This window comes from Homo sapiens, chromosome 8 (assembly GCF_000001405.40).
Source record: "Homo sapiens chromosome 8, GRCh38.p14 Primary Assembly".
Classification (NCBI taxonomy): domain Eukaryota; kingdom Metazoa; phylum Chordata; class Mammalia; order Primates; family Hominidae; genus Homo; species Homo sapiens.
This window is the reverse complement of record NC_000008.11, coordinates 7,159,910-7,181,855: the sequence shown is the minus strand read 5'-3', so window position 1 is coordinate 7,181,855 and position 21,946 is coordinate 7,159,910. Positions and strand designations below refer to the sequence as shown.

Sequence of the window (21,946 nt, the reverse complement as noted above, 5' to 3'; positions counted from 1 at the left end):
GTGGCAATTGCGTTTGGCATCTTTACCATGAACTCTTTGCCCATCACTATGTACTGGAGGGTATTGCCTAGGTTGTCTTCCAGCGTTTTTATAGTTATGGGTTTTAAATTTAAGTCTTTAAGCCATCTTGAGTTAATTTTTGTGTATGGTGTAAGGGAGGGGTGTTGTCTTTTCACTCTGTTGATTGTTTTCTTTGATATGCAGAAGGTATTTAGTTTAATATAATCCCATTTGTCTGTTTTTGTTGCTTGTACTTTTTAAGTGTTAGCCATACAATCTTTGTTCTCAAGCTTTTCTCCTGTGTTTACTTCCAGTAGTTTTATAGTTGTGGCTGTTACATTTAAGTCTTTAATTGATTTTGAGTTTATTTTTGTAAGTGATGAGAGATAAGGGTCTAGTTTTATTCTTCTGTGTTTGGATATCTAGTTTTCCTGGCACCATTTAATGAAGAGGGTATCCTTTATTCAATGTATGTTCTTGACAGCTTTCTTGAAAATCAGTTAGCTGTAAATATGTGGATTCATTTCTGAATTCCTTAGTCTGTTTCCTTTGTTTTTGTGTCTTTTTTAATACCAATACACGCTGTTTTGGTTACTGTAGCTTTGCAGTACATATATATATATTTTTGTTTTGTTTTGTTTTTTGAGATGGAGTCTTGCTCTGTCGCCCAGGCTGGAGTGCAGTGGCACGATCTTGGCTCACTGCAAGCTCTGCCTCCGCCTCCAGGGTTCACGCCATTCTCCTGCCTCAGCCTCCCGAGTAGCTGGGACTAAAGGCACCCATCACCACACCTGGTAATTTTTTTTTTTTTTTTTTTTTTTTTTAGTAGAGACAGGGTTTCACCATGTTAGCCAGGATGTTCTCGATCTCCTGACCTTGTGATCCACCCGCTTCAGCCTCCCAAAGTGCTGGGATTACAGGCATGAGCCACCGCGCCCGGCCGCTTTGCAGTATATTTTTAAATCAGGTAGTGTGAGGCTTCTAGCTTTGTTCTTTTTGCTCAGTATTGCTTTGGCTATTTCGGGTCTTCTGTGGTTCCATATGAATTTCAGGGCTTTTTTTTTTCCTGTTTCTGTGAATAATATAATTGATAGGGATTATACTAAATCTCTAAACTGCTTCGAGTAGCATGGTCATTTTAACAGTATTAGTTATTCCAACCCACGAGTATGAGATGCCTTTCCATATGTTCCTGTCCTTCTCAATTTATTTTATCAATGTTTTGTGGTTTTCACTGCAGAGGTTTTTTGGTTTATTTTCCCCCTCCTTGGTTAAGTTTATTCCTAGGTATTTTATTTTTGTAGCTATTGTAAATAGAATTTCTTCTTTGATTTCTATTTTAGCTAGTTTCTTACTGGTATATAGAAACATTACTGATTTTTCTAGGTTGATTTTGTGACCTGAAGCTTTACTGAATTATACATCTGCTTTTTAAATTTTTTTTATTTTTTATTTTTTATTTTTTGAGATAGAGTCTCACTCTGTTGCCCAGGCTGGAGTGTAGTGGTGCAATCTTGGCTCAGTGCAACCTCCGCCTCTCGGGTTCAAGCAATTCTCCTGCTTCAGCCTCCCAAGTAGCTGGGATTACAGACACCTACCACCATGCTTTGCTAATTGTATTTTTTGTAGAGACAGGGTTTCGCCATGTTGGCCAGGCTGGTCTCAAACTCCCAACCTCAGGTGATTCGCCCACCTTGGCCTCCCAAAGTGCTGGGATTACAGGCATAAGCTACCATGCCCAGCCTAATTTACCCATTTTAAGAGTTTTTTGGTGGAGTCTTTAGGTTTTTCTGTTTACAAGTATAAGATTATGTCATCTGCAAAGTGAGACAATTTGACTTCCTCTTGTCCATTTTGGATGCCTTTTATTTCTTTATCTTGTCTGATCACTTTGGCTTGGATGTCCCATACTGTGTTGAATAAGAGTGGTGAAAGTGGGCATCCTTGTCTTATTCCAGTTCTTAGAGGAAAGGCTTTTCAATTTTTCCCAGTGAGTAGGATGTTAGCTGTAGATTAGTCATATATGCTTTTCTTATGTTGAAATGTTCCTTCTATGCATAACTTGTTGAGAGTTTTCATCATGAAGGAATGGTAAGTTTTACTGAGTGATTTTTCTGCATCTGCTGAGATGATCAGATAGTTTTTGCCTTTCATCTTGTTGATGTGATGTATCACATGCACTAATTTCTGGATGTTGAGCCATCTTTGCATTCCTGGGATAAATCCCACTTGATCATGGTATATTATCTTTTTCATTCATCATCAGATTTGGCTTGGTAGTATTATGCTGAGAATTTTTGCATCTGTGTTCATTAGGAATATTGGCCTGTAGTTTTCTCTTTTTGTTGTGTCCTTGTCTTGATTGGATATCAGGGTAATGCTGGCCTTATACAATGAGTTAGGAAGAATTCCCTCCTCTTCAATTTTTGAGAATAGTTTGAGAAGAATTGGTGTTGTTTTTCTTTATAAATTGGGTAGAAATCAGCATAAAAGCCTAGTCTAGGGCTTTTCTCTTTGGGGAGACTTTTTGTTACTGATTCAAACCTGCTATTCATTTTGGCTCAGTTCAGGTTTTCTGTTTCTTCCTAGTTCAATCTTGGTAGGCTGTGTATTTCTGGGAATTTATCCCTTTCCTCTAGGTTTTCCAATCTGTTAGCATATGGTTGTTCCTAATAGCCTCTAATGATCCTTTTTATTTCTTTGGTAACAGATGTAATGTCTCCTTTTTCATTTCTGATTGTATTTACTTGGGTCTCTCTCTTTTTTTTTTTTTTTTTGTTAGCCTCACTAGTGGTTTATCAATTTTGTTTAACTTTTCAAAAAACCAACTTTTATCTTGTTGATTCTTTGCATTTCTTTTTTGTCTCCGTTGCATTTGGTTCTGCTATGTAATTTATTATCTTTTCTTTCTACTAATTGTGTGTTTGGTTTGTTCTTGCTTTTTGAGTTCCTTGAGGTTCATCGTTAGGTTGTTTATTTGAAATCTTTCTACTTTTTTGGTGTAGGCATTTATTGCTATGAACTTGCCTCCTAGTAGTGCTTTTGCTGTATCCCATAGGTTTTGCATGATGTGTTTCTATTTTCTGTTTAAAAAAAAAAAATTTGATGTCCATCTTAGTTTCTTCATTGCTCCAATGACCATTCGATAGCATGTTTAATGTCCATGTATTTGTACAGTTTCCAAATTTCTTCTTCTTATTGATTTCAAGTTTTATTCCATTGTGGTCTGAGAAGATACTTGATATGATTTTAATTTTTAAAATTTTGTTGAGCCTTGTTTTGTGTCCTAACATATGGTCTATCCTGGAGAATGTTCCATGTGTTGATGAGATGATTGTATATTCTGCTGCTGCTGGATGAAATATTCTGAAAATATCTGTTAGGTCCATTTGGTCTAAAGTGCAGCTTAAATCTAATGTTTCTTTGTTGATTTTATGTCTAGATGAACTGTCCAATGCTGAGAGTAGGATATTGAAGTTCTCAACTATCATTGTATTGGATTCTATCTCTCCCTGTAGATTTAATAATATTTGCTATGTGTGTCTGGATGTGCTTTTGTTGGTTGCATGCATATTTAGAATTGTTATACTTTCTTGCTGAATGGATCCCTTTATTACCATATAATGACCTTCTTTGTCCTTTTTACAGTTTTTGACTTAAAGTCTGTTTTATCTGATGTAAGTTTAGCTACTCCTGGTTACTTTTGATTTCTGTTTATGTGGTATATCTTTTTCAATCCCTTCACTTTCAGTCTGTGTGTGTCTTTACAAGTGAAATGAGTTTCTTGTAGACGTTGTTGGGTCATTTTTTGTCCATTAAGCCTGCCTCTATCTTTTAGGTAGTTAACTTAACACATATTTGAAGTTATTATTGATAGGTGAGGACTTATTCCTGTCATTTTGTTCATTGTTTTCTGGTTATTTTGTATATCCTTTTGATATGGTTTGGCTGTGTCCCCACTCAGATCTCATCTTGAATTCCCATGTGTTGTGGGAGGGATCCAGTGGGAAGTAGTTGAATCATGGAGGCAGGTATTTCCCATGCTATTCTTTTGATAGTGAATAAGTCTCTTGAGATCTGATGGTTTTAAAAGGAGTAGTTTCCCTGCTCAATCTCTCTCTTTGCCTGCTGCCATCCCTGTAAGATGTGACTTTCCTCTCCTTGACTTCTGCAATGATTTCGAAGCCTCCCCAGCAATGTAGAATTGTAAGTCCATTAAACCTCTTTCTTTTGTAAATTTCCCAGTCTTGAATGTGTCTTTATCAGCTGTGTGAAAATGGACTAATACAGTAAATTAGTACCAGAAGTGGGGTGTGGCTAAAAGATACCTGAATATGTGGAAGTGACTTTGGAACTGGGAAACAGGCAGAGGTTGGAACAGTTTGGAGGGCTCAGAAGGAGACAGGAAAATGTGGGAAAATTTGGAAGAGATTTCCTAGAGACTTGCCCAAAATGCTGATGGTTATATGGACAATAAAGTCTAGGCTTAGGTTGTCACAGACGGAAATGAGGAACTTGTCAGGAACTGGCACAAAGGTGACTCCTGTTATGTTTTAGCAAAGAGACTGGTGGCTTTTTGCCCCTGCTGTAGAGATTTGTGGAACTTTGAACTTGAGAGAGATGATTTAGGGTGTCTGGTAGAAGAAATTTCTAAGCAGCAAAGCATTCAAGAGATGACTTAGGTGTGTTAAAGGCCCTCAGTTTTATAAGGGAAGCAGAGCATGAAAGTTTGGAAAATTTGCAGCCTGAACATGCAATAGAAAAGAAAATCCCATTTTCTCAAGAAAAATTCGATCTGGCTGCAGAAGTTTGTTTAGGTAACAAGGAGTCAAATGTGGATCCCCAAGACAATGGGGAAAATGTCTTCAGGGCATGTCACAGATCTTCATGGCAGCCCCTCCCATCAAAGGCCCAGAGGCCTGGGAAGAAAAGATGGTTTTGTGTGCTGGACCCAGGGCCCCCCTGCTGTGAGCAGCCTAGGGTGCCTGAGTCCTAGCCACTCCAGCTGCAGCTAAAAGGTGCCTAGGTACAATGTGGGCTGTGGCTTCAGAGGGTGCAAGTCCCAAGCCTTAGCAGCTTCCACATAGTGTTGAGCCTATGGGTGCACAGAAGTCAAAAATTGAGGTTTGGGAACCACTGCCTAGATATCAGAAGATGTATGGAAATGCCTAGACGTCCAGGCAGGAGTTTGCTGCAGGGGCAGGGCACTCATGGAGAACCTCTACTGGGGCAGTGCGGAAGGGAAATGTGGGGTCGGAGCCCCCACATACAGTCCCTACTGCTGCGCCACCTAGTGGAGCTGTGAGAAGAGGGCCACCATCCTCCAGACCCCAGAATAGTGGATTCACTGACAGCTTGCACTGTGTGCCTGGAAAAGCGGCAGACACTCAATGCCAACCCATGGAAGGAGCTAGGAGGGGGTTTATACCCTACAAAGCCACAGGAGTGGAGCTGTGGCCTTTTTTCTCCCAAGGTCATGGGAGCCCACTTCTTACATCAGCATGACCTGCATGTGAGACATGGAGTCAAAGGAGATCATTTTGGAGCTTTGAGATTTGACTGCCCCACTGGATTTTGGGCTTGCATGGCGCCTGTAGCCCCTTTGTTTTGGCAATTTTCTCCCATTAGGAATGACTGTGTTTACCCAATGCCTATACCCCCATTGTATCTAGGAAGTAACTAACTTGTTTTTGATTTTATGTGCTCATAGGTGGAAGGGATTTGGCTTGTCTCACATGAGACTTTGGACAGTGGACTTTTGAGTTAATGCTGAACTTAGTTAAGAGTTTGGGGGACTGTTGGGAAGGCATGATTGGTTTTGAAATATGAGGATATGAGACTTGGGAAGGGCCAGGGACAGAATGATATGGTTTGGTTTTGTCCCCACCAAAATCTCATCTTGAATTCCCACATGTTGTGGGAGGGACCTGTTGGGAAGCAATTTAGTCATGGGGGCAGGTCTTTCCCATGCTGTTCTCATGATAGTGAATACGTCTCACAAGTTCTGATTGTTTTAAAAAGGGCAGTTTCCCTGCAGAAGCTCTCTCTTTGCCTGTTACCATCCATGTGAGACATGACTTGCTTCTTCTTGCCTTCCAACGTGATTGTGAGGTTTCCTCAGCTATGTGGAAGTGTAAGTCCATTAAACCTCTTTCTTTTGTAAATTGCCCAGTCTCAGTCAGGTATGTCTTTATCAGCAGTGTGGAAACAGACTAATACACCTTTATTCCTATTTTCTCTCCTTAGTGGTGATGTTTGAATCCTTTCTTCTTTGTGTGTCTGCTCTACCAGTGAGTTTTATACTTTCATGTGTTTTCATGATGGTAGATATTGTTCTTTTTCTTCCCAATGTAGGACTCCCTTAAGCATTTCTTGTATGACCACAACAAACAATACCCAAACAAACAGTCTTTTACTTATCTGAGAAATACTTTTTTCTCTTTTATTTATTTGTTTATTTATTTTTAGCAATGGAGTCTCACTCTGTCACCCAGGCTGGAGTACAGTGGCATGATCATAGCTCACTGCAGCCTTGAACTCTTGGGCTCAAATGATCCTCCTGCCTCAGCCTTATGAGTCTCTGAAATTACAGATGTGAGCCACTGTGCCAGGCTCCTTCATTTGTGAAGGATAGCTTTGCTGGGTATAGTATTTTTGGCTTACTTTTTTTTTTTAACTTGTAGTATACATCCCCTTTTCTCCTAGCCTGTAAGGTTTCTGCTGAGAAATCTCGTTAGCCTGATGGGGATTCTCTTATAAGTGACTTGTTGCTTTTCTCTTGCTGTTTTTAGCATTTTCTGTTTGTCTTTTGACAATTTTACCATAATGTGTCTTGGAGAAGACCTTTTTGAGTTGTATTTATTTGGTAATCTTTCAGCTTCCTGTATTTGAAGCTTTCAGGAAGTTTTCAGTTATTATTTTATTAAATAGGTTTGCTATGCCTTTACCCATCTCATCTCCATCCAGAACTCCCAGAATTTCAGTTTTTGGTCACATAGGTGTCCCATATGTCATGTAGCTTTGCTTCATTCTTTTTTCTTTCTTTTTGTCTGACTGGATTATTTTAAAAGACTAGTCTTCAGGTTCAGAAATTCTTTGTTTTGCTTGATCTAGTCTATTGTTAAAGCTGTCAATTATCTTTTGTATTTCTTTCAATGATTTATTCTCTTCCAGGATTTGTGTTTGTTTCTGTGTTACGCTGTCTATCTCTGTTGAATTTCTCATTCAGATCATGAATTGTTTTCCTGATTTTTTTGTATTCATTATCTGTGTTCTCTTGTATCTCCCTGAGTTTCTTCAATAACATTATTCTGAATTTTTTTCAGGCATTTCATAGATTTTCTTTTCATTGGAATCTGTTGCTGGAGAATTATTGTGCTTCTTTGGAGATGTTATGTTTCCTTTTTCATATTTCTTGCATCCTTATGTGACTATCTGTGCCTCTGACATAACAGTCACTGCTTCCAATTTTATGGATTGGCTTTTATATGGGAAAGACCTTTTCTTATAGCTATATCTACAATGTTCATTGGATATCACAGTTTGGCTTTGATTCTGGGTGGGTACAGTGGTATAATCTGCATATGATTTCTTCTGCTGTAATTGGATGAGTGGTGTCTGTGAGTCATTCAGTGGCTTAGACTGTAGTTTTTGTTTGGTTTTGTTTTTTTTTTTTTTTTTTGTGGTTGTTGAGATGGAGTCTAGCTCTATCACCAGGCTGGAGTTCAGTGATGCAATCTCAGCTCACTGCAACCTCTGCCTCCTGGGTTCAAATGATTCTCCTGCCTCAGCCTCTTGAGTAGCTGGGAGTACAGGCACGTGCAACCATGCCCAGCTAATTTTTGTACTTTTAGTAGAGACGGGGTGTCACCATGTTGGCCAGGCTAGTCTCAAACTCCTGACCTCGTGATCTACCCACCTCGGCCTCTCAAAGTGCTGGGATTACAGGCGTGAGCCACCACACCTGGCCAGAATGCAGTTGTTATTGGAAGCTGTGGTGAGGCTTTGCTGAGGATGGGGATGCCAGGAAGTCTTGTCCTTCAGCCTCAGTGGTAGTGGTGGTGGACCAGGTTTGTCAATACTAGGGACCACAGGCAGTATACATGGGCACTGATGATAGCCTGTCTGCATGGGCCAATCCCTGGGCCTCCAGGTGGCTTCTTTGGTTGCTGGCAGTGGCAGCACTGGGCCAGTTGGGCAGGTGCACCACTGGGCTCCTGGGTGGTGTGTGTGGCAGTCTGATCTCTAGTTCTCCAGGTGATCTGTGCAGGTTCTGGTGGTGGGTAGGCAGGTGTTTCCTCAGGCCTCTCAGTAGTAAGGGTGAGCACTAGCTCTGGAGGCAGGTGAGTCAATCTCCAGGCCCCCGGATGGTACATTCAGGCACCAGCATATTCCTATGCATTTCTAGATAAAAGTATTTTTCAGAAAACCTGAGCATATGTCCTATTAATACAACTTGTCCTCATCAACTCTGCATGAGAAGAAGGGAGAATTCCCTCAGTAGAACATTCAGAATGGAATCACAGACTTGTTTTGAGCCAGTCACTGGTAAGGGGGGATAGGCTAAAATGATAAGCTCAGAATCTAAACCTTAGACTAGGGAATGGCAAACTTTTTCCATAAAGAGGCAAACAGTAATATTTTAGGCTTTTGGTCTAGATAACCTCTGTTGCAGTGACCCAGTGGTGCCATTGTAGCCTAAAAGCATATGTAAAAAATGCATAAATGAATGGACCTGGTTTTATTCCAATAAAACTTAATTTATACCAACAGTCAGAGGGCCAGATTTGGCCCTTGGTCTATAGTTTGCCAACCCTGTTTAGACCAGTCACAATTTATTCCCTGGGGCTGGGCCAAATTTTTCTTAAAAAAAAAAAAAGCAACCTACTGTCAGAATAAAATAGGGTTTCTATTTAAAAAGAAGAAGAGGCTGGTGTGGTGGCTCATGTCTATAATCGTAGCACTTTGGGAGGGTGAGGCAAGAGGAGTGCTTGAGGCCAGGAGCTTGAAACCAACTTGGGCAATATAGTGAGACCCTGTCTCTGCAAAGAATAAAAAAATTAGCCAGGCACGGTGGCACATGTCTGTAGTCTTAGCTACATAGGAGGCTGAAGGGGAAGATCACTTGAGCTCAGGATTTTGAGGTTACAGTGATCTCTGACTGTACCACTTGTACTCTAGCCTAGGCAAAGATGGAGAACCCAAAAACAAAACAAAATAAAAAAAAGGTTGGTTGGGGTGGGTTGGAGAAGAAAGTATTTCTGAATTTCTGGGTAGGTTACTGGTAGTATCAGGCCAAACTAGCTCTACAGTCATATTCATTATAAATAAAGGCAACTAGAAGATCTCCATCTAGCTATTAAAAATTGGTTAAAATCTACAGCGATAAAGGACGGTGACCCTTGTATCAGTTAGTTGTTGTCACAAAATGCTGCATAACAAGTCACTCCAAATCTCAGTGGCATAATACAACAATCATTTATTTTCATGGACCTATGGATCAGCTGAGGATTGGTTAATCTGGCATGAGCATGTCTCAGAGGCTCGACTTCGCTCTTGGTGTCTCTTATCTTCTGCTGGAAGCAGCAGTCTGGCCTGGGCTTGTTCTCATGGTGATAGCAGGAGTGAGCGAGCACAAATGAATGCACACTTTCCAAGTTTTTGGTCATGCAGGTTAATATTCCAGTGGCCAAAGCTAGACACATGACTAAACCCAACATTAGGGGCTGGAGAAATATACTCCGATTCTTCAGTGGGAGGAACTGCAGAGACAAATGGCAGAGTCTTGGATACAGGGAGGACATGGATCCATTAATGTACCTTAATCAACCGCAACCCTCTAACCACCAATGCAATTAAATATTTGTTGAATGCACTTGTGCCTGAATCCTTCTGGCTGCAGCCCAGGCAATGGGGGCCTGACTGGGGAGGGACCATAGCAGAGACTCGATGTCCTGCAGGTCTGCATGTAATTGTGTACGGCCGACTCCACATTGGTCATGGCTGACTTGCTTTGTCCTGCATCCCCAAGGGGCAACAATTGGCTGATTTTATTTCTAAACAATTTTGACAAAGTTGTTTTCAGGAGCCCAGGAAGCAAATCAGTTGTGGATTTGAATTTTGCAGGGGGTCAGAATTGTTGAATATATATATAGTCTTTTACATGTTGATAATCATTTCCATACCACAAAGAAGGCCGGCTATTAGGAGGCTGCTGTTCAATTCCTTTGCCCCATGAACTCATGAGCTGTGGCTATGTGGGGGGCACTCAGTTGTTAGAGCTGTTTCCTTTCATAACAACATCAGCCAACATTCTAAATAAATGCAGGAAATTAAATAGTCTTCCCCAGACAGGTACTTTGCCCTTCTAAAGTGAATTACACATTGTAAAATAAAACACAGTCACATTAAAAAACCAAAAGGTCTTTGTGTCAGGTTGGTCTGGCTTCAGCAAAGATAATATTTCCCTCCAGAGTAGAAGATCCTTGGAATCCATGGTATTGCTTATGGCAGCCCCACATCTTGTTTCCTTTTCTTTTTTTTTCGTTTTTAACTAAAAGAGTTGACAATTCTATTTTCACATTTCCCAATACAAATGAAAACTGCATCTTTTTTGGTCCCACTTCTCCCCTCCAAAACTATTCTCTTTGATGGGGCAAGGGGGCAAGTCTTCCTTATGCTGTTAAGAAAAGCCAGCATCACAGCGGCACGATCTCCTGGTGAAGGGAGCAGGTAAATATAAAACTCATACAGGCCGGGCGCAGTGGCTCACACCTGTAATCCCAGCACTTTGGGAGGCTGAGGCAAGCGGGTGACGAGGACAGGAGATTGAGACCATCCTGGCCAACATGGTGAAACCCTGTCTCTACTAAAATAAAAAAAATTAGCCAGGCATGGTGCACATGCCTGTAGTCCCACACTACTCAGGAGGCTGAGGCAGGGGAATCACTTGAAACCAGGAAGTGGAGGTTTCAGTGAGCTGAGATCGTGCCACTGCCTTCCAGCCTGGGTGACGGAGGAAGACTCTGTCTCAAAAACAAAACAAAACAAAAAAACGCACAACAATAACACCAAAAAAGCAACACTGATGTAATGAGCCCTCCCCTCTATCCTTATCTGTCTGGTCGAGTCATTCTGGGCTGACTGGGCACCATCATGAGATAGGCAGGAGGTCTCATCATTGGGCACCCAGGCATCACGGGCATGTGGCCTCCCATGGGCGGCCTCATTCCAGGAGCAGGTCCCACTGGCATCATCCCAGGAGGAGAAGGGCCCATCATTGGCATCATGGGAGGGCCTCCCATATGGGTGCTGCCATCATACTGAGATGTGTGAGAAGTGTCAAATACACATTAGATTGTGAAGCCTAAATATAAAAAGAAAGCAAAATATTTTGTTAATGTTAAAATATTTTATATTTGTAGACCTGGTATTTTGGATAGATTTGTTTAAATCTGTGATATTATTCCAGTTACCTTCACTTCTTTTGTTTTCCTTTTTAAAATGTGGTTACTACAAAATGCAAAAGTAAATATGTGGCTTGCATCATATTTCATCATATTTAGTGTGGACCCTGAGGGTCTAAGGGAGTTATGAGCCTTAAGTTGAGGGTGACCCAGCTCATCGTGAATTGCTCTGAAAGAGAAGCAAAGGGCATAAAGAGAACGTATAAATGGAGAGAGGGAGCTCGGTCTTACAGGGTGAGGAAAGGCTTTCTTTATTACACAGTCTGGCACTTCTTCAAAAGCTTGAACACAGAGTTCTATGACCCAGCACTTCCACTCCAGTTTATGGAAGAAATGAAAATATATGTCCCTGCAGAAACTTGTACACAAATGCTCACAGCAGCATTATTCATAATAGCGCCAAAGTGAAAACAACACAAATGCTTGTCTACTGATGAGTAAAGAAATAGAACATGGTTTGACCAAGCAATGGAATATTATTCAGTCATCAAAAGGAATGAAGTACTAACACGTGCTACAACACGGATGAACTATGAGAATATTAAGCTAAGTGGAAGAAACCAGTCACAAAAGGTCACATATTATAAGATTTCATTTATATGAAATGTCCAGAACACGCAAAGCTATGAAGACAGAAACCCTGTCTCTACTAAAAATACAAAATTAGATGGGCATGGTGGCATATCCCTGTAATCCCAGCTACTCGGGAGGCAGGAGAATTGCTTGAACCCGGGAGGCGGAGGTTGCAGTGAGCCGAGATTGTGCCACTGCACTCCAGCCGGTGACAGAGACTCTATCTCAAAAAAAGTAGATTGTCAGGGCTTAGTGGGAGGAGGAAATGGCAGGAACCTGCTCATGGATACAGGGTTTCCTTTTGGGGTGATGAGAATGTTTTAAAATTGATCATGATGGTGGTTGCCGACCTCTGTGAATGCACTGAAACCATTGATTTGTTCACTTTAAATGGGCAAATCATACGGTACCTGAATTATATTTTAATAGTTATATTAAAAAAGTAAAATCTTCCTTGAAGAGATGACACTTAAGGAGAGACCTAGGGGGTGGGATGAGTTCGCTATGTAGAGAAATGAGGAACAGCATTTCAGGGTGAGGAACAGCATAGTGAAGTCCCTGAGGTTGATAGGCATAGAGCAGATTTAAGGGACTTTTTTTTGAGACGGACTTTCAGTCTTGACGCCCAGGCTGGAGTGGAGTGGTGTGATCTTGGCTCACTGCAACTTCTGCCTCCTGAGTTCAAGCGATTTTCCTGCCTCAGTCTCCCTAGTAGCTGGGATTACAGGCGCCCTCTACCACACCTGGCTAATTTTTGGATGTTTAGTAGAGATGGGGTTTCACCATGTTGACCAGGCTGGTCTCGAACTCCTGATGCCAGGTGATCCACCCGCCTCAGCTTCCCAAAGTACTGGGATTACAGACGTGAGCCACTGCGCTCAGCCAGATTTAAGGGACTTTCAAGAAGTTTGTGTGGCTGAAGCCTGCAGGGCAAGCGAAAGAATCAGGAAATGAGGCTGGAGAAAGAGAGGGGCTAGGTCATGGAGGGTCTCACATTAGTGTGTGGAAACTTCATACGAGTGGTCCCACCTTGGGCATCCCACGTAACTACTCTTTGTCCCAGCTTCCCCACTCGTGAAATCAAGGGTGATGTAGGGATGGACTGCGATAGAGTGTGCTAAGTAAAGGTGAGCTTTGATCATTGTTTTTTGTTTGTTTGTTTTGAGATGGAGTCTCACTCTGTCGCCCAGGCTGGAGTGCAGTGGCGCTATCTCGGCTCACTGCAACCTCCGCCTCCCGGGTTCACGCCATTCTCCTGCCTCAGCCTCCCGAGTAGCTGGGACTACAGGCGCCCGCCACCACGCCTGGCTAATTTTTTTAATATTTTTAGTAGAGACGGGGTTTCACCGTGTTAGCGAGAATGGTCTGAATCTCCTAACGTCGTGATCCACCCGCCTCGGCCTCCCAAAGTGCTGGGATTACAGGCGTGAGCCCCCGTGCCCGGCTGAGCTTTTATCATTGTTAACCCATAGAGCAGTGGGAGCCATTGAAAGTGAGTGATCTGTTTGGATGCACCTTCTGAAGTGATTGCTTTGGTCCCTGTGAGGAGTGCAGATTGTCACAGGGCCAGGGGAAGACAGAGGCCAGTGAGGAGGCATTTGCAGTCAAACAGCTGGAAGTGATGGTGGCTTGGTTTATGGTGGTGTCAGGAGAGTGGCTGAGCAGTGAACGGATCTGAAAAGATTTAGGAGGTAAAACCCACGTGACTTGGTCACTGAATGTGGGTTGGGTGGGCTGGAGGGAAGGTAAGAAAGAATGAGAAGAAAAACATACTCAAGTGGGCCCTCCAGCCTAAGGTTACTTGAGGTCCCTTTGTGAAGAGGAATATTTGTGTTTATGATGAAGATGTCTAGACTTTCAAAGGCCACTTGCAGTATTTTTTTTTTTAACAGCCAACAACTCCTCCTTCCCTATGCCCTAAACATATGAATTTTTTTTGGCCCTAATTTATTATAGAGGGATGGATGTTCATTTGCTTTAATGAGAAACGCAGTATGCCAATAAGAAAGCATATTCAATTAATCTGGATTGCTGTGAGGGAGTTTAATCTGTTTCGATGTGCACCAGTGTTACTATAATAGTTTGCTCTAAACCCATTTCTGGCCTGTGGCTGCAGGAGTTTGACTCCCAGCTTGCTTTCATTTGAAAGATCCCAGCAACAAGCACACTTGGCATTTCCAGCCAAACCCACTTTGTGCAGCGAAGAAAAAGTTGAGGAGTGCCTCTGTTGTTTTCCCCCAAATCATTTGGCAGAAATGTGGCTGGGAGTTTCATTGCTGATTTTTTCAGTTTTAGTATTGCTGTGGAAAGCCTGTACCAACACTCAGCCATGTTATTCATCCACAGCTCCAGTCTGGGCTGTGATTTGTTTTTCCTTTGAGTGAGACTGAATGCAAATAGACACTCATGCACCATCACCATCACTCCCCCTGATTGGCGGAGGGAAGTCAATGGAGTGATTCTAGTTTGGTGTTCATATCGGAGGGTTTTATTTATTCTGAGACGGAATCTCTCTCTGTCACCAGGCTAGAGTGCAGTGGCGCACTCTCGGCTCACTGCAACCTCTGACTCCCTGGTTCAAGCGATTCTCCTGCCTCAGCCTCCCGAGTAGCTGGGCTTCGAGGCATGTACCACCACGCCCGGCTAATTTTTTGTATTTTTAGTAGAGACGGGGTTTCACCGTGTTAGCCAGGACGGTCTTGATCTCCTGACCTCGTGATCCGTCCGCCTCGGCCTCCCAAAGTGCTAGGATTATAGGCGTGAGCCACTGTGCTAGTCCTGGAGTTGTTTTTAAAAGCACATTTCTCTCACATTAACTCCGAGGTGTCCCACTGTGACTTGGGCAAAGGTTTGGATTTTCTGGAGGTGGAAAGTCGAACTTCAAATAGAATTTGGAGGCTGCCACTGTGGCTCATGCCTGTAATCCCAGTACTTTGGGAGGCTGAGGTGGGTGGATCATTTGAGGCCAGAAGGTCGAGACCAACCTGGGCCACATGAAAAGGCCTCGTTTCTACTAAAAATACAAAAATTAGCCAGGCGTGGTGGTACATGCCTGTAACCCCAGCTACTTAGGAGGCTGAGGCAGGAGTTATCGCTTGAACCTGGGAGGCAGAGATGTCCTGTGTCCACACCCCATGAGGCGTATCAGCTGGCTGAAGATAAAATCGGTCACGCTGTGTTGGGATTGGGGTTGCTGTTATCATCCCTCATCCCCACCCCTGCTAGGCATCCACAAATAGTCGTCTTCAATGAGACGTCCCTCCTGCCCCTGGCTGCCTTATTTCATCTGCACCCAACCTTATCCATTGCTTGTCAGTGGGTCTCAACCTTGGCTGCACCTTGGAATCTCCTGGGGAGATGAGACAATACCAAGGCTCTCTCTCACTCAGCGTGATGTTTCCAAGTTCCATCCACATGTAGTAGGCACCAATACTTCCATTGTACGGATACAGCACATTTTGTTTATTCATTCATAAACCGAATGACCATCTTTGTTGTTGCTACCTTTTGGTTATTATATATATTACATGATTCCATTTATGTGAAAGGTCCAGAATACGCAAATCTGTAGAGGCAGAAAGCAGGTAAGTGGTTGCCAGGAACTGGGGGAAAGGGGAGGGGATGGAGAGTGCTTGATGGATACAGGGTTATTTTTTGGGGGGCGGGGGGTGTTAAAGAAAATGTTTTGGAACTAGACAGAGATGATGATTGCTTAACATTGTGAAGGTATTTAATGATACTGAAGTGTATGATTTCATACAGGGACTTGTATGTTATGTGTATTTGGCCTCATTAAAAAAATAGTGCTTGGAGCAATGGCTCATGCCTGTAGTCCCAGCACTTTGGGAGGCCAAGGCGGGCGGATCACCTGAGGCTGGGAGTTGGAGACCTGCCTGGCCAACATGGTGAAACCCTATCTCTATTAAAAATACATGAATTATCCCTTCACATCTTTGGGGGGTAACTTTTACAGTGCAGTCTAACAACCAGCTGCCTCAAAATCACTGGGATCCCTCGTAACCAGGTAGCTCCCCCATCTCCAACTCTGACCCGCCAAGTCAGAATCTTGTGGGTGGGGCAGAGAACGGTACATATTGAAACAGACAGTAACCTGGGAACTATTTCTGAACACCCCTGTTTCCCCTGTGTTTGCCCTTTCACATTTGGACCCCTTTGTGTGCTGACCACTGGGCTGTTTCACGTGGACATAACATAAAAAAGACAGGCCAGGTGCAGTGGCTCATGCCTGTAATCCCAGCACTTTGGGAAGCCAAGGTGGGCGAATCACTTGAGGCCAGGAGTTCGAGATCTGCCTGACCAACATGACAAAACCCCATCGCTACCAAAAATATGAAATTAGCTGGGTGTGGTGATGTACACCTTTGATCCCAGCTACTCAGGAGGCTGAGGCTGGAGAATCCCTTGAGCCCAGGAGGCAGAGACTGCAGTGAGCCGAGATCGCACCATTGCACTCCAGTCTGGGTGAGAGTGAGACTATTAAAAAAAAAAAAAAGACAGAGATGGTCCCTCCTTTAGGGAGCTCTCAGTAAAATAAGAAAGCTCACGATGTCCTGGCATTTGTCAGAAATATATTTGGTATATGTAGCTGGGTTCACATGCTTGACATGCCTATTGAAAGCTTCTGAGTAGGAAGAGAACAATCATCACAGCATCACAGCCTGGCATAACTGTCTCCCAGGACAGGTCTCCCTGGGGAGACAACTCTGAAATCAGAGCTCAAATCCAGGTTCTACTTTTCGCTCAGTAATGTACATGATGTAGGACAGTTTTTATATTAGTTATCTATTGCTGTGCAAAAATATTACTGCAAACTTTGTGGCTTGAGACAGCAAACAGTTACCACTGCACGGTTTCTGTGGATTAGAAATCCAGGTGTGACTCAGCTGGGTTCAATGCAAGCCTGTGGCCATAGTGTCAGCCAGGGCTCAGTTCTCATCTGGAGGCTTGACTGGTGATTGATCTGCTTCCAGGCTCATCTGGTTGTTGGCAGCATTCAGTTCCTTGCAGGCTGCTGGACTCAGGGCCCCAGTTTCTTGCTGCCATCAGCTTCTTGCCACATGGGCCTCTCCATCTGGCCGCTCATGACATGGCAGCTCACATCTTCAAAGCCAGCAAGACAGACAGCCTCCTAGCAAGACAACTTAACATCCTATCTATCTAACATAATCACTACATCCTGTCACCTCTGCCATATTCTCTTGGTTATAAGAAAGTCATAGGTCCCTTTGTCAGATGAGTAGATTGCAAAAATTTTCTCCCATTCTGTAGGTTGCCTGTTCACTCTAATGGTAGTTTCTTTTGCTGTGCAGAAGCTCTTTAGTTTAATTAGATCCCATTTGTCAATTTTGGCTTTTGTTGCCATTGCTTTTGGTGATTTAGACATGAAGTCCTTGCCCATGCCTATGTCCTGAATGGTATTGCTGAGGTTTTCTTCTAGGGTTTTTATAGTTTTAGGTCTAACATTTAAGTCTTTAATCCATCTTGAATTAATGTTAGTATAAGGGGTAAGGAAGGGATCCAGTTGCAGTTTTCTTCATATGGGTAGCCAGTTTTCCCAGCACCATTTATTAAATAGGGAATCCTTTCCCCATTTCTCGTTTTTGTCAGGTTTGTTAAAGATCAGATAGCTGTAGATGTGTAGCATTATTTATGAGGGCTCTGTTCTGTTCCATTTGTCTATATGTCTGTTTTTGTACCAGTACCATGTTGTTTTGGTTACTGTTGTCTTGTAGTATAGTTTAAAGTTAGGTAGCGTGATGCCTCCAGCTTTGTTCTTTTGGCTTAGGATTGACTTGACAATGCAGGATCTTTTTTGACTCCATATGAACTTTAAAGTAGTTTTTTCCAATTCTGTGAAGAAAGTCATTGGTAACTTGAGGGGGATGGCATTGAATCTATAAATTACCTTGGGCAGTATGGCCATTTTCACGATACTGATTCTTCCTACCCATGAGCATGGAATGTTCTTCCATTTGTTTGTATCCTCTTTTATTTCATTGAGCAGTGGTTTGTAGTTCTCCTTGAAGAGGTCCTTCATGTCCCTGGTAAGTTAGATTCCTAAGTATTTTATTCTCTTTGAAGCAATTGTGAATGGGAGCTCACTCATGATTTGGCTCTCTGTTATTGGTGTATAAGAATGCCTGTGATTTTTGCACACTGATTTTGTATCCTGAAACTTTGCTGAATTTTGGTATTTTTAGTAGAGATGGGGTTTGCTGAATGCAGCCCCCAGTCACGTACTCCCTGCTTGGTCAATCGATCATGACCCTCTCATGTGGACTCCCTTAGATTTGTGAGCCCTTAAAAGGGACAAGAGTTGCTCACTTGGGGAGCTGGGTTGTTAGAGACATGCGCCACCATGCCCAGCTAATTTTTTTATTTTTAGTAAAGACGGGGTTTCACCATGTTGGTTGGCCAGAATAGTCTCGATCCCTTGACCTCGTGATCTGCCCACCTCAGCCTCCCAAAGTGCTGGGATTACAGGTGTAAGCCACTGCACCCAGCCCAGAGAAGGCTTTTCCTACTTGCTTCACAGCCTCCTGCATCCTACACCAGCACCAGGCTCTCACCACCTGTGGGCTGCCCTCATCTGTGATCATCTCTCCCCAGGCCTGCTGTTCCTCAAGAAAGGAAGTTGTAATGGACAGAATACTAAGACAGCCCCCAAGAGACCCACTCCCTTATATCTGCTCCCTGTATCATCTCCTCTTCTTGAGTGTGTGCAGAGCTTGTGATTTGGCCAAGAGGAAGGAATTTTGCAAATGTGATTATGGTCACAGTTGCTTTGTTAAGCACATTTGTTCAGCTGACTTTGAGTTCATCCAAAGCAGGATGATCTTAGGTGGGCCAGACCTAATCAGGTGAATCTTTTAAAGGTGAAGTTTCAGAGGTTCAACCCTTAGCCTCCAAGGAGACACAAATGGCCATGCTGTGAGCTGTCTTTGGAGGTGGCAGCTCTAGGAGTTGAGGGCCTTCATTCAACAATTGCAAGATATTGAATTCAGTCCACAAACTGAATAAGCTTGGAAGAGGATACTGAGCATCCCATGAGACCCCAGCTCCAACTGACACTCTGGTTGCAGTATTGTGACCCTGAATAGAGGACCCAGTTAAACCCTGCCCAGACCCTTGGTGGTGTTTTAAGCTGCTCAGTTTGCACTGGTAAATCCACCAACAGGAAAGTAATATAGAAGTTAAATGGGCCGGACGTGGTGGCTCATGCCTGTAATCCCAACACTTTGGGAGGCTAAGGTGGGTGGATCACAAGGTCAAGAGATGGAGACCATCCTGGCCAACATGGTGAAACCCCGTCTCTACTAAAAATACAAAAATTAGCCAGGCGTGGTGGCACACACCTGTAATCCCAGCTACTTAGGAGGCTGAGGCAGGAGAATCACTTGAACCCAGGAGGCGGAGGTTGCAGTGACCCGGGACCATGTCACTGCACTCCAACCTGGGCAACAGAGAGAGACTCCATCTCAAAAATATATATATATATATATATTTTTTTTTTTAAACGAATACTTTTGACCATTGATGGAAGTTACTTTCATTCCCTCTTACTTAATCATCTTTATCTTAGCCCTGAAAGAGGGATGCTTTAACCTCATTTGTAACAAGTGAGTCTGAGGCTCAGGAAAGTGATAGAATTTAGCAAAGTTCACCTTGCTACCTGGTGGCCCCAGCTAGAACTCAGACCCAGATCCATATACCTAAAGTCATTACAACATCAACTAAAATTTTGCCCCTCACTCCATGCCTTCCTCTTAAGAAGCCTGTTCCTTCAGGGATAGATCCCAACCCAGTGTTACAAGGTACTGAACTCTGATTTTCACAAAATATAGTAACTACCCCCCAAAATTAGTAATAGTATTTTTGAGCCGGGCACGGTGGTTCATGCCTGTAATTCCAACACTTTGGGAGGCTGAGGTGGGCAGATCATGAGGTCAAGAGCATCCTGGACAACATGGTGAAACCCCATCTCTACTAAAAATACAAAAATTAGCTGGGAGTGGTGGCAGGTGTCTGTAATCCCAGCTACTAGGGAGGCTGAGGCAGGAGAATCGCTTGAACCCAGGAGGCAGAGTTTGCAGTGAGCTGAGATTGCACCACTGCACTACAGCCTGGCAACAGAGCAAGACTCTGTCTCAAAAAAAAAAAAAAAAAAAAAAACTAAAAAAAACTATTTTTGAGTCCTTATGTGTCAACCACTGGGCTATCCCAACACCAACAGATACTATGATTATGATTAGTTTTTCCATTTTATTGATGAGGAAGCCAACACATAGAAAGGTAAAGGAACTTGCCAAAGGTGATGGTCACACAGCCAAAGAGCTGTAGAAGCAGCACAGGAATCCCAGCAAACTCACAGCCAAGCTCTGCTTTTCACCTTCACATCATACTGTCCTCAGACTAAAACCCTAACTCTGACCTTCCCAATCAAAAATCATACTCAAGGCCGGGCACAGCGGCTCACGCCTGTCATCTCAGCACTTTGGGAGGCTGAGACAGGTGGATCACCTGAGGTCAGGAGTTCCAGACCAGCCAGGCCAACATGGTGAAACCCCATCCCTACTAAAAATACAAAACTTAGCCAGGTGCGGTGGTGGTTGTCTGTAGTCCCAGCACTTTGGGAGGCTGAGGCATGAAAATCACTTGAACCCAGGAGGCAGAAGTTGCTGTTATCCATGATCATGCCACTGCACTCCAGCCTGGGCAAGAGAGTGAGACTCTGTCTCAAAAAAAAAAAAAAAAAAAAAAAAAAAAAAAAAAAAAAAATTGTGCTTAGTAATAGCTTGGAAGTGCACATATCTTCTGTGAAGTTTGATGGACTACAGTTAGCTTCAAAACACAAATAAGTAACTGCATTTAAATGAGACCTTCTGTGTAATAGCTAGGGAAAGTCAATGTAGATATTCATATTTTGGTTCCTCTTCCAGGCACAGAGAAGTTGCCCATGACTCTTTGATCTGTTTTGTCCAATGAACCATGAGCAGGAGCAACTTGAGTCACCTCCAGGTGGAAGTGTTAAGAGGCTCTATGATCCACCACATTCTCTTTCCCCTGAAGTGGTGATCAAGGACACATGCAGAGATGGGGCTTTTGTCAGCCTGGATCCCTGAGTGAACACAATGAACAGACCACCCCACAATGCCCTAACACAGCCCAGACATGCAACGTGACCAAGAATAAGCCTCACTGTGGCCAGACATGGTGGCTCATGCCTGTCATCCCAGCACTTTGGGAGGCCAAGGCGGGTGGATCATTTGAGGTCAGGAGTTCAAGACCAACCTGGCTAACATGGTGAAATACTGTCTCTACTAAGTACAAAAATTAGCCAGACAGTGATGGCATGGGCCTGTAATCCCAGCTACTCAGGAGGCAGGAGAATCACTTGAGTCTGGGAGGCAGAGGTTGCAGTGAGCTGAGATTGCACCACTGCACTCTAGTCTGGGTGACAGAGTGAGACCCTGTCTCAAAAACAAACAAACAAATACCTCACTGCATGAGGCCACTGAGATTTGGGGATTGTTGTTACAGCACCAGAACGCAAATCATCCTGACTGCTAGGGTGTCCTAACTAGGGTTTCTTACCAAAAGCAAAGGCATTTTTAAAGTTCGTGACATTTAAACAAAAGAGCAAATACCAATATCTACCACTTTGTCAGGCTAACAAACCCAAACAAAGCCAACAGCCAGAAGTTAAAATAAACAGATCATTAGGTTGAAAATAGAACTGTCAAAACAGGCCCAATTGACTTCATTTAGTGATTGCAAAGAACATCAGGCAAGACACAGGTATGCTCATCATAACATTTATCACATGCTTAATTGCACATGTTTGACTAAGAAAAACACAAAGTATTTAAGCTCATCTGTAGTTCAAA

General features: G+C 43.1%; 1 long non-coding RNA gene and 1 pseudogene across 1 annotated transcript in view; both read right to left on the bottom strand.

Moving 5' to 3' along the window:
• The window catches only part of LOC105377803 (uncharacterized), a 47,930-nt gene that overhangs the window by 4,597 nt on the left and 21,387 nt on the right, over positions 1-21,946 (bottom strand). The gene's annotated exons all lie outside the window — the stretch shown is intronic.
• Positions 10,547-11,322, bottom strand: SNRPCP15 (small nuclear ribonucleoprotein polypeptide C pseudogene 15; annotated as a pseudogene).